The sequence below is a fragment of the Homo sapiens genome, chromosome 6 (genome assembly GCF_000001405.40).
Source record: "Homo sapiens chromosome 6, GRCh38.p14 Primary Assembly".
Classification (NCBI taxonomy): Eukaryota; Metazoa; Chordata; class Mammalia; order Primates; family Hominidae; genus Homo; species Homo sapiens.
The window spans coordinates 96,295,001-96,309,054 of NC_000006.12; the positions used below are offsets into that span (position 1 = coordinate 96,295,001).

The 14,054-nt window shown below is 36.5% G+C and overlaps 1 long non-coding RNA gene across 1 annotated transcript in view, besides 1 other annotated feature; it reads right to left on the minus strand.

Moving 5' to 3' along the window:
- Positions 1-14,054, minus strand: part of UFL1-AS1 (UFL1 antisense RNA 1) — a 321,372-nt gene that overhangs the window by 94,658 nt on the left and 212,660 nt on the right. The gene's annotated exons all lie outside the window — the stretch shown is intronic.
- Positions 10,180-10,229: an enhancer, noted in NCBI's record as "active region_24840". NCBI's record gives its function as "activates an Ori minimal core promoter by ATAC-STARR-seq in GM12878 lymphoblastoid cells {active_cell/tissue: GM12878}" and the evidence as "EXISTENCE:reporter gene assay evidence [ECO:0000049][PMID:35858748]".

A 14,054-nucleotide genomic window follows, 5' to 3' on the forward strand; every position in this document is an offset into this window, starting at 1 on the left:
AATCTATGCAGAAAGGCATTCTATAAAATTCAGCATTTCTTTATGATACAAACACTCAACAAACTAGGCATAGAAGGCACTTACCTCAAAATAATAAAATCTACATATGGCAAACCCACAGCCTACGTTATACTGAGTAGGGAAAAGTTGAAAGCATTTCCTCTGAGAACCGGAACGAGACAAAGATGCCCACTTTCACCACTTCTATTCAGCATAGTACTGAAAGTCTTAGGTAAAGCAAGAAAGTACATTTAAATTGAAAAAGGGGGAGTCAAAAATTAGCACTGTTCACCAGTGATATGATTATGTACCTGGTAAACCCTAAAGACTCATCCAAAAGACTCCTAGATTTGATAAACAAATTTAGTAAAGTCTCAGGTTACAGAATTAATATACACAAATCAGTACCACTGCTAAACACCAACAATGACAAAGATGAGAATCAAATTAAGAACTCAATCCCTTTTACAACAGCTGCAAAAGAATAAAATACCCTTTTACAAGGAGATGAAAAATCTATACAAGAAGAACTACAAAACACTGCTAAAATAAATCATAGCTGACACAAACAAATGGAAACACATCCCACATTCAGGGATTGGAAGAATCAATATTGTGAAAATGACCATATTGCCCAAAGCAATCCACAGATTTAATGCCATTCCTTTCAAAATACCAGTATCATATTTCACAGAATTAGAGAAAACAATTATAAAATTCATATAGAACCAAAAAAAAAACACCCAAATAGCCAAAGCAACCCTACACAAAAGGAACAAATTCAGAGGCATCACATTGCTGGACTTCAAATTATACTACAAGGCTATAGTTACCAAAGCAGCATGGTAATGGTATGAAAGTAGACACACCGATCAATGGAACAAAATAGGGAACTCAGAAATAAATCCAAATACTTATAACCAACTGATCCCCAACAAAGCAAACAAAAAAAGTGGGGACAGTACACTTTATTTAATAAATTGTGCTGGGAAAATTGGCTAGCCACATGTAGAAGAATGAAACTGGATCCTTGTCTCTCACCTTACATAAAGATAAACTCAAGATGGATCAAAGACTTAAATCTGTGACCTGAAACCATACAAACCCTAGAAGATAACCTAGAAAAAAAATCTTCTGGACATTGGCATAGGCAAATAATTAATGATTAAGACCTCCAAAAGCAAATGCAACAATAACAAAAATAAATAAATAGGACCTAATAAAACTAAAAAATTCTGTACAAGCAAAACAAATAATCTCAGAGTAAACAGACAAAGCACAGTAAGGAGAAAAAAATTTGCAAACTATGAATCCAACAAAGGACGAATATCCAGAATGTACAAGTAACTCAAACAAATCAGCAAGAAAAAAAATCCCATCAAAAAGTGGGCAAAGGACATGAAGAGACATGTCTCAAAAAAAGATACACAAATGTCCAACAAACATATGAAAAATGCTCAACATCACTAATCATTAGGGAAATGCAAATTAAAATGACAATGCAATACCACCTTACTCCTTCAGGACTGGCCATTGTTAAAAAGTCAAAAAACAATAGACATTGGCATGGTGTGGTGAAAAGGGAACACTTATACACTGCTGGTGGGAATGTAAGTTAGTACAACCTCCATGGAAAACCGTATAGAGATTTCTTAAAGAACTAAAAGTAAATCTACTATCCAATGCAACAATCCCACTGTTGGGTATCTACCCAAAGGAAAAGGCATTACACCAAAAAGGCATCTGCACATGTATGTTTACTGCAGCACAATTCATAGTAGCAAACATATAGAACCAACCTAAATGACCATTGACCAAAGAGTGGTTAAAGACAATGTGGTATATATACACCATGGAATACTACTCAGCCATTAAAAAAGAATGAAATAGTGTATTTTGCAGCAACTTGGATGGATGGAGCTGGAGGCCATTATTCTAAGTGAAGTAACCCAGGAATGGAAAGCTAATACCATATGTTCTCACTTACAAGTGGGAGCTAACCTGTGGAAACACGAAGGCATACAGAGTGATATAATGGGCTATGGAGACTCAGAAGAGGGAGACTGTGAGGGGCAGTGAGGGATAAAACACTACATAGTGGGCATAATGTACATTATTTTGGTGACAGGTACACTAAAATCTCAGACTTCACCACTAAACAATTCATCCGTGTATGCAAAAACCACTTGTACCCCAAAAGCTATTGAAATAAAAACATACTATTTAAAAATTTCAGGTGGAAAACAATTTCCTCTAAATTTTGAAAATATCAATCCATTGTCTTTTGGCTCAGTCTTACTGTACAGATAATATTGAAATTGCCAGTATGCTAGTGGAGAAATGACAATACATTTTAATTTGCATTTTAAAATGAACTACATTGTCTATATATTGGCTGTCCCCTATGGTCAGCCTCTCTTTTTCCTTGCACCAGACTAAAGATAGCACTCAAAATTTATTTGCAGGTCCCCTTTAAAGAGAACCATTTTAAAAACCATAATGTTCAACATAGAATTCATTTGATATTTTCTAGGGGAAACATAGGTGGAAGTTTGTATTGCCCAGCATTTGGTATTTAAATTAATTACTCATTATACATTCTAAATCTCCCCCTTTTTTGAATTGGTTGATTTTCTTTTTCATTTTAGAAACTAAGGTTCAATTATATATAATAAAATTTTTCCTTTTAGTGTACAGTTCTGTGAGTTTTATTAACATACACAGTTGTGTAACCAGAATAGTCCCATCAGTCCCAAAAACTTCTCCATGCTTCTTTGTGGTCAACCTCTCCTCTAATCCCTACACTCTGACAACCACTGATCTGTTTTCTGTCTTTGTTGTTTTGCCTGCATAATATTGTCAAATAAATGGAATCATAGAGTTAAAAAATAACAGGAGAGTGATAGAGTTTCATTGTGATAATGGTAGCAATATTTTCCAGAATGCAATATTGACCTTGTGAAAGTAAAATAAAAACTTGGGACCCCAATTCACTATGCCAAAATAAAAATATTAAGGTGAAAGCTGAGTCATGAAAGAAGCTGCCTTTCCTTTTGTTCCTAAGCAGATAGCTATAGATAAAAGGTTAAATATTTCCACAAGTTAAATAGCTATAGATAAAAGTTAAATATTTCCAGATCTTATGTAAAATATGAGACAAATACATAATTGACTGTTCCCTACCTGCTCTTTTTCTCTTGCAATATGTGAATTACCATATCCTCCCTGTTCCCTCTCCACTTTTCCTCTAACTTTTTTTTTTTTTTTTTTTTTTTTTTGAGACAGAGTCTGTCTGTGTCATCCAGGCTGGAGTACAGTGGCATGATCTCGGCTCACCACCACCTCTGCCTCCCCGGTTCAAGTGATTCTCATGTCTCAGTCTCCAGAGTAGCTGAGATTACAGTGGTCCGCATTTGACAGCGTAAAGGTGGTGAATTTTCCCAGGATTCAGTGGAGACTTAGAAGTTAGGATGACATTGAATAAATCCTGCTAAAAACCACTCCAGAGGTGTAGTTCCTAAAAGTGTGGTTTGGGCTTCTTTGGAGCACACATTATCAGCATCAGGGAATGCTACTGTGTAGGTCTCTGTGGTATATCCCCAAAGGTTTATAAAGTGACCCACAGGGGAAATTTTTAAAATGTGGTTTCTGCCATAACAGATGGCGTCTATGATCAGATTTCAAGAGAACCAGTCAGGTAAGGCTGTCCTTTCCTCCTAAATACTTTTTCCGATGTCCCAGACCCAGAAGAAATAGGAGCAGCGGAGGTGAGGATCAGGCTATGAAGCAGGGAAAGATAGCACAGAATGCATTGCCTTCTCTATGGGGTTTACAGTATTACAGTTCAGGATTAAACTAGAGAAGGAAGCAAAATATTAAGTAAGACACTGGAGTTTTTATTTAGCTGTGAATTGGATTTATACATAGGTACGTATATTTCCTTTCAGACCCATTGAAAAACATATTAAATAATTTTAAATAGTTTAATTTCAAAATTACAGAAAAGTTGCAAGTACAAGTCATTTTTTTCCTAAATTATTTGAAAGTAAAGTGTTAATGCAATGTCATCACCTTTTAATACTTCAGCATGCTATTTTTAGAAACAAGGACTTTTTATACATAACTATAAGGCAGCCATCAAAATCAGAAAACTAATACTGACACATTGCTAGCATCAAATCCTCACATTCCACTTAATTTTTGCAGTTGTCCTCATAACATCCTTTATAGCAAAAAGATTTAATCCAGGAATGCAAATTGCATTTAGCTGTCATGTTTCTCTAATTCCCTTCAATCTGGAAGAGTTTCTTAGTCTACCTTGACTCCCACATCCTAATTCTTTTGAAAATTATAGGTCAGTTGTTCTATAGATTGCCTGACAATTTGGATTTGTCTCATGCTTCCTGGTGATATGATTCAAGTTCTGTATCTTTGGCAAGAATATCATGGAAGACACACTATGTTTTTCTCAGTCTGCCTAAGGTGGTGTTACCAGCGATGAATCTATATGGGTCTGCAGCAACCTCAATACTTGCCTCCTCAGAAGAAAGAATTCAACTGAATGGCATAAGGCATAAGGAGAGACAGAGGCAAGTGTTAGAGCAGAAGTGAAAGATTAATGAAAACTTTAGAGCAGGAATGAAAGGAAGTAAAATACACCTGGAAGAGGACCAAGTGGGTAACTTGAGAGATCAAGTGCATGGCTTGACTTTTTGACTTGGGGTTTTATATGCTGGCATGCTTCCAGGTCTTGTGCTCCTTCTTCCTTGATTCTTTCCTTGTGGAGTGGACTGTCTGCATGCACAGTGGCCTGCCAGCACTTGGAAGGGGCCGCAAGCACAGTGTGTTTACTGGAGTTGTACACATGCTCACTTGAGGTGTCTTTCCTTACCAGTCAAATGTCCCTAGAAGGTCATATACCAGTTAAACTCTGCCATTTCGCCTCTTAATCACATGTTTGAGCCCACTTGCCCGGATCATGAGATCTTATTGGGAAACTGCTGATCACCACTTTCAGGTTTTTTCTATCTATTGGGAGATTTCCTTTCCCTGGTGCAGGCTGCGACCAATTATTATTTTACAGAAACAGTGTAACAACTGCCTGCCCATCACCTGATGGCTGCCTAACATTCCTGGTGGCAGAGGGTAGGGGAGCCCTCTCCAGCTCTGCTCATGTCTGACTAGCTACCTACTGTAACTGTGGCACACGATTTCATTTTGTCCCGTTACTGTGATGTTATCTTTGGTTATATGATTAAGGTCACAATGGATTTTCTAGTAGCTAAAAAATGAAATTATTTCAACACCTGAAAGTGACTGAAAAAATTAGGCCCACTGTGCCATCAAAGGAGTGAGCAAAAAAATCCCACGTGGTCTGTTTATAATAAAGGCAACAGGAAAAATAGAATGAAGCCATCTATTTGCACTCTGTAGACTCAAATAAAATTAAATCAAGGCAAATCAAAACAAATCAGGCCCCAAATAGGGATATTTGCTTTGATTTTCATTTTATAGTTTTATAAGTATTAAAGATTTATATTGCTTAATGATTGTACTTATCTAAATAATATTAGTAACATTATAATACAAATAATACAGTTGGATGCAGTGGCTCACACTTGTAATCCTAGCACTTTGGGAGGCTGAGGCAGGTGGATCACTTGAGGCCAGGAGTTCAAGGCTAGCCTGGGCAACATGGCAAAACTCCATCTCTAATAAAAATATAAACATTAGCCAGACATGGTGGCAGGCATCTGTAATCCCAGCTACTCGGGTGGCTGAGGCAGGAGAATTGCTTGAACCCGGGAAGCAGAGGTTGCAGTGAGCAGAGATCACACACCACCGCACTCCAGCCTGAGTGACAGAACGAGACTGTGTCTCAAATAATAATAATAAATACTGAAATCTGTGAGAGCATGGTTTTAAAGGTCTAACCTAACCTGAATTTGGTAGGGGAGAAAAACTATTTAAATCTGTTCATTTTGAGACAGAGTAGGAAGAGGACTTGGTTGCAACTCATCCCCACTGGAGCATTCTTTCATGCATTCCCGCTGATCACAAAACTCACACCACTACCTCACTAATGCCATAATGTTTAACCATGCCTTTTACTCAAAGAATTCCAGGAAGTGGCCTCAAGAGACAACCAAGGTTGCAGAGTGTCCCACTTCAGGCAGGAATGCTGAACAATTGATTTATAGCCTTTTTGCCCACAGACTAGACCATCAGGTGGCCCATTACTCAAGATAACCATCACAACCAAATAATTCTGACCCACATACCTCACCCCTCACGTGCTTTGACCAGCTCAATGTGCACACCCTACCCCTGATGTCAATTCCCACGCTTTGGAAAAAAAAAAAAAAAAAAACCCTACCTCCAGCTCTTTTTAGGGACTCAGTCAAGGAATTCTCTGTCTCTCTCTCTCTCTCTCTCTCTCACACTGCCTCCCTTATGTCTGGGCGTAAACTCCAATTAAGTCTTATTTGGAAAACTCTTTTGGCCTGTGTCAATTTCTGTTGAATGGAGAGCCCAAGAACCTGTGGTCAGTAACAATGTCACTTAAAACAATTTTGAGTTTTGAAAGGTGGAGGGACTACCGGTTTTTAGTGGCAGATCCAGAAAACAAACCACATCTCATAGCTCACAGCCTTATTCTCATTTACCCAAATGGCAGTCTGCCAGTTATGCCAAATCCTCTTTTTTCTCTACCTTCTGAAGTTGGGGCAGCTAGTAACAATAATCATATTTTAATAACAACACCATGTATCAACTGCGTTTTATGTGTCAGGAATTAGCCTAAGTATTGAATATGTATCATTTCATTACCTTCTCACGACAAGTCAATGAAGTAAGTCCTATAGGTATCCTAAATTAAAATAAAAGGAATCTGAGGCCTGAAAAAGGAAAGGAATTTCCTTCACAGCCACATGATTTCCAAGTGGTGACGTCATTACAGGAGCAGACAGTCTGATGTGAGAGCCATTGTTCTTGACCATCTTGGCACATTGCCCCTCTGCCTGCCCTCTGGGATTCTGCTTTGATAGTTTTTACTATTATCTGTGTGGGTGGTTGTTTTGTTTTGTTTTGTTTTTTCCCACATCTCTTTCTAACCAGAGCACAAACTCCACAAGGAAAAGAATTGTCTTTTTCATTTCTTTCACTTATTTAACATAATATTGGACACAAGGAAGAAGTAACTATTAAAATCGAATTAATTAACTCAGTTAATTAAATGAAAGAAAGGACAAAAGAATGCTAAATGCAGAAATCAAGGTGTTAGAAATATGAAAATCTGACCACAATAAAAAAAAAAGGTTTTAATCTGTGAATGAGTAAGTCTAAAGCGCATAGATCATTACAAATGAAGGCAAAAGTTTTTAAGTCTTCTGCAGGAGATTGATTAGGACCTGAATCTGAAGACAGAAATGTTAAACTCCATAAAATAGATACAGAAACAATTGCACTAAGAAAGAGATAATATGAAGTATGAGATGGTGAAATGACAAGAAGATTTAGAATTAATTATAATGATTGTTTTTCAATTGCTCAGAATCAAGTTGGAGGAGGACTGAATAGCTCCAAAGACATCTAGCCATGATCGAATTAAGTATGGAGCTATTAGTGTGGTGGGGAAGACAAATATAAGTAAAAAGCCTATTGTTTTAATAGCATGAATTTGACAATACAATGAGTCAAAATATGCAATCATATCAGTTGGCAGTTTTGCGAACTGACCTAATTGGTTGGCTGACTAAATTGACTAGGAAAGTTTTCGGACAAACATATGTGCAAACAAATATAGCCTGAATCAACCAATCAAAAAGCTAGTGTTTATTTAATACATCTATGAACTGGCACATCTATTAAGTAAATTAACATACATTTGGGGAATTTGTGGCTTTCACCAGGTGTTTGGCTATTGGCAATAGGTAATTATATCACTAATAAACATTCTGTATGGTTATTGCTTTATTTACTCACCAATATAAAAATGCAGCAAGGATGAAAGAATAATTATTGCATTCTAGTAAAACTCTGACTCAAAAGCATATTTTAAAAGGCCCAGTTTAAAAGCCTACTGGCAAACAATGTGGAAATGTGTTGAATCCTGTTCTAAATAGCACTGCTAAAGTAGCTGAAAGTCGGACATGAGTTATAAAAGTTAGAAGGATGAAAAAGAAACAGAAAGCAGGTCACATAAGCTCAAATGGTCCATTGAAGAGCTTGTCACAGAATGTATGATGTCTGGCTGTAAAAATAAAAACCTTTGACAATCCTGATTAAATCTAAAGACAAAATAAATAACGGGAAAATAGAGCCTGAGTTATTAGAAGACAAAGAGAAGAATCTTTCAAAACAGCAACGGGGCACATTTTCTGCAGTTGAATTGCTGTGCCAGAGGTTTGTAGGTTTGGTTACAGCGAGGAAAATAGCTGCCTATGATCTGACCACCTGGTGAGGCTCAAGCAGCTACAGCGATGCCGATCTGAGGACCTTGTTCCAGTGGCTTTCTAGGTGGAAAGACTAATTAGTGAGGGAAGTCAAGGGTACAGATTTAATGTGAAGCTTGGCCAAGCTCAGTGTCATTTTTTTCTGACATGGAAGAATTTTCACATCTATGAATAAATTTCAACATTCCATCACATCAACGCCAACACTTTCCGTAGAAGTATGATTTGTTTTTCCGTTAAAGATATATCAGAGTGTGTGCTGTTTTTTCTTTGGAAGTACCTGCCTTTGATGACAGGGCTCGTGCCTTTCCTTAAGTCTGATGACAGCCCAGGCATGAGCATGGGCAGGTAGCTCCTATAAATATTTAAGTGATTTCCCCGGTCTTTGAATTATTGCCATTAGATGAAAAGGAAATATTGATGTCTGGAGCTTGCCCAAGAAATCCCTGAAAGACAATGGCTCCTCTAGAGAAGTTTGCCTGGCTCTCACATAGAGCTTCATGTCTTTATTAGTCTGCACTGACTACTCTGTAGTCTGTGAAAACACTGAAAGGAAGGTGAGAGCTACCAATTCTACACTGTCAATTCAGAAGGTATTGGTAAGGCATATAAGGACAATATTTTACTACTCTAAAATTCCAAACCCCTGACTCCACACATTATCCAAGGAGCTATGCCTGGTGGTTCCAGCTCATAGCTGCTGTAAGAGAAAAGTAGCTATTTTTATTTTTATAGCCAGATATCATTTATTTTAGTTTTGATGGAATGGTAAGTAAACCCATTTAGCCAAATGTGCTCGGCATTTTCTTTTCCGATTTCAGTGTCTAGGATAATCAAGCAAACACAATCTATAAGCAGCTAATAATCATCCCAAGAATATTCTTCTTAAATATGCTCAAAATAACAAAATATAAACCCCTTAGTGTGTTTTAAAATGTACATAATTTACATAAATAATTCTGACTGCTCAATGGTTCAGCAATATGCTTTTTGCATTTACTATCATCTCTGAGATCTGCCCACGTTGCTACTTGCTCTTAACCTGGTTGTCCAGTATGCTGACAGCAGGGCACACCAACTTTACTAAAAGATATCTGGGTATTATAATTCCAAACTAAGAAACTTACCTGCACAACAAAGATAGCCAGATGCTGAAATCCTGAAGAAAGAACTGAAGTGATATTTGCCACCTGAAACCTTCCGAACCATCATAGTTATTCCCCGCTGATCAACTGCAGTCTGAGGCTGCGCTTTCGTAATATGAGGCAGAGATGGTTTGATTTGTTTCTCAACTTTAAGAGACCTACCACATTTTTCTTCCCTGACACCTCATTCATCAATATTTAGATGCTGTGCTGGATTGGGCCCTGTCTGGTAACAAAAACTTCCATTCCACACTCAAGCATTGGTCTCTATTTGCTAAGCTCTAGTTCATTCTATATATTGTATAATATTCCATTATATGAATTGTCTAAAATTTATTCCTCTGTTCACTTGTTGACGGATATTTGGGATTGTTTTTATTTTTTTCTTATTACTAGTACAGATTTTACCACATTGAAAACGATTGTTTTGTCATCCTGTGTAGAGTACCAGAAGGGCATCATGGCAAAGTCAGCCACAACACAATCAAAAGAAATGTGTGTCAGTTATTCAGTTAACTACTCAGCTAACAGTAATGTTTTGCTCTGGTAAACAACTACCTCTAACCTCTTCACAGTTTCTCAATATCACATTCACTTTCGTTCTGAATAAATATTGTGAGTCACCTTGTTTACACATCTATATGATTGACCTTTTCAAATGTGTATCTTCAACTTTCTCTTTCAAAGTTTGTTTCCAGTATATACCTTCCCTATCCTGCTGACTACCAAGGACTTCCTGAATTCATGTATGTGCATGTAGGGAGAAGGAAGAAATACCTTGAATTTACTCAGTCATTTTTATATAGCTTCTAATTTTGATGTGCAAAAAAAACGGGTTATGGTCATCACTAGCTCAAGCTATGAGTCACTCTCCTCCCTGGATTTCAATTATTATTTTTTAAAGTGGAATTTTTAATCTGCAGCCTTGTTCCATAATATTACACACCTAAAATTGAATTTTTGGAACTAATATACGCGAATATGCAAATGTAATACATACTGCCACAGTAGTTTTAACAGTTTGTTCTCATTAATACTCTCATCATCAATGAACAATAGTTTTCTTTTCTCCTTGCCAATGCTAGGTATAGTCATAATATTTTTATCAAGCTGATGCAACAGAAAGATATTACACTGTAATTTACTTTGTAAGTTATTATTAATAAATCTAGAGATCTTATACACATATTTATTAGCCATTCAAAGACTTGACTTATATTCTATGGGTTTATTTGTCTTTTTCATATTATTGTATGGAAATTATTTATCTTAGACATTTATCATTTGTTATCTCTGTTACAAAAACCTTCTACTGGTCTATTTCTTGTCTTAATTTTGCTGACGGTCTTTAGAATTTTCTATTTTGATAGAGTTAAATTTATGCATTTTTTCTTCATGATTTGTATTTTATCATGACTTTATTAAAGGGTCAAAAAATATTTTATTTTTATAAATTTAAGATAGATGTGATATATGCAGGAGAGAGAGACAGATGAATAGACAGATAACTTCATTCCAGAAGGATCAAAACAATGGCATCATTTTAAGAATATGAATGTCTCAATAAGCCCTCAGTTATATTAAATATTAATATTTTTTTAATTTTTGTGAATTTGATATTTTTAAAGACTTGATGCTTTAAATTATATTTACATTTATATTAAAATAACTGGCATTTTTTTGTTTGTTTGTTTGAGCCAGAGTCTCTCTCCGTCACCCAGGCTGGAGCGCAGTGGCATGATCTCGGCTCACTGCAACCTCCACCTCCCGGGTTCAAGCCATTCTCCTGCCTCAGTCTCTGAGTAGCTGGGACTACAGGCGCACACCACCACGCCTGGGTAATCTTTGTATTTTTAGTAGAGACAGGGTTTCACCATATTGGCCAGGCTGGTCTCGAACTCCCGACCTTGTGATCCACCCGCCTTGGCATCCCAAAGTGCTAGGATTACAGGTGTGAGCCACCACACCTGGCCTGAAGTCTTTTTAATGACTATCTTGAGTTCTTTTTATGTGAATTCTGTTTATTTTGAGATGCTAATGTTATCCTTATTGTTGTGTAATATATTTTATAGCAACAATAAGACATCTTCTTTTTTAAATGATATATAGGGAGAAATATTTGTTCTTAAGGACTTTGATAATCAGAAACATTTTATGGCCAAGGAGCATATGGAAAGATGCTCAACATCACTAATCATTAGGGAAATGCAAATCAAAACCACAATTAACTATAAACTCACATCTTTTAGGATGACTACTATTAAAAATAAAATAGAAAATAACAAGTGTTAGGAAGAATGTGGAGAAACTGGAAACCCTCTATACTGTTGGTAAGAATGTAAAACAGTACGGCTGCTATAGAAAGCAGTATGACAGTTTCTCAAAAATTAAAAATAGGATTACCATATGATCCAGTAATTTCATTTCTGGTTATATATTCAAAAGAATTGAAAGCAGGGTCATGAAGAGATATTTGTGCATCCATTTGCTCACAGCATTATTCACAATATCCAAGAGGGGGAAGCAACCCAAATGTCCATCAGAGAAGAAATGGTTAAACAAAATATAGTATATGTATACAATGTATTATTCAGCCTTAAAATGGGTTGAAATTCTGACACATACTACAACATGTAAGATTTTTTTTAGTAAGTATAATCATTTCATGTAGTTATATTTGGTTTATTGAGTAAGTTGCACCTGGCAAGGCACAAAAACGAAACTTGATTTTTTCTTGACCATTGCCTTTATGCAATCTTCTGAATATTTTTTCACTGTTCTAAATGAAGTTTTGTATTTTCTTTCTTGTCATACTCACATATTAAGAGTTAAAGTCAAGTCCAAGTCTCTCGTTTCATTTGAAACTTGCTGCTTCACCTAGCTAAGGTCTGACTTAGTTTCTTCTCTTCTTCAGAACCTTTTTCTTTAACTTTTACCACTGGCTCTTCCAGTGATGAGGGAAAGAAGGTAGATGGAGAGAGGTAAAAGCAAGATTTTCCTTAACCAATACCATTGTAACCTCTTATTGATGGCCTTTAGATGTGGTCAGGATTCCTTGTCCTTGGGAAGTAAGCATGCTTAATGTGTTTAGGAAGCTGTATGCATGCCCACCTGAGGCTTTCTTCCCTTTTCTAGCAGTGTGCCCCCAGAAGGTCATATTCTGCCATTTTGTCTCTTCATGCACATATTCAGGAAGTTGCATCTCCCTGGCTTCTGCATTCAATTAACACTTCAGTGCAACTGAATGGCCTCTCCCTCATGCTAGCTGCCAATTTATAACTTTTAGGGAGGCAATGTGATAATTGCCAAACCACCACCTGACATTCCTAGTGGGTAGGGGAATGCCTGCCCCACTCATGCCTGTCTAATTACCTGTAACACTTTGATTGAGTCTTACAAATATCAATATGTAGTGTTTTTACTTCATTCAGTACTTCATAATTTCCTAAGAGTTCCTCTATAATAAAAGAAATATTTATCATAGGTTCCAAATATAAGGGATTTTTTTAAAGCTGTCCTTTTGTTATGAATTTCTCACTGCATTGAATTACGGCCAAAGAACATAGTCATAATGCAACGCCAATTCTTTAGGATTTATTAATGCTTCTGTTGTGGCCTTGTCTATTGTATCTCCCATGAATTGACTAAAAGAATATTTATTGTTGTTGGGTATATATTTCTACATACAGTTAACATGTTTTTTAATGTGTTACCTAAATCTAATATATTAGTAGGTTTGTCTTCTAGATCTCTCAGCTTAAACCACAATTTTTGATATACTTATTTTTCCTGAGCATTGTTGTGTTACATGTTTTAGGGCTGTGTTACTGAAACACCAGAGGTTTGGTCTAGATCTTGGTCCTCACCACACAGAAAGCCAATCACTGAGGCAACAAGCATTGCCAGGGAAGAAGGCTTTTTTGGGTGTTATAGTCCAGAAGATAGGAGATCAGTCTCAAATCGATCTCCTCAACTGATTAAAATTAGGAGTTTATATAATGGGGAAGAAATGTAACTATGTGTGAGAAAACAAGCATTAGGGAATAGTGAGGAAGAGGAGTTGGTGAAAAGGAAGCAGGTGGTTGAATAGGCAATCATGAGGGATGACGGCTCTGGTGTCTTATTGTTCAGATGCAATCACCTGGTAAGTTTCAGTCCCTTGACATTATTTGGGAAGACTGATGGTTGGTGTTCTGAGAAAGGAACTCATATAAGACAAATGTAACATTCTCAAGCTTTGAGACTGGGGGGGCAATTTCTATGTTTATTCAAAAGAAAACATAACTTAATTTCTATGGGACAACTGGGCCCATTTCAGCTGCATTAATATTCTGCAAATTATGTGCATGATCATCATACCTTCTTGAGCTAATATTTCTTTTATCAATAAATTATCTATTTCATTATTCCTACTATACTATTACCTTAATATCTACTTGGTGCATTATCAGAATAA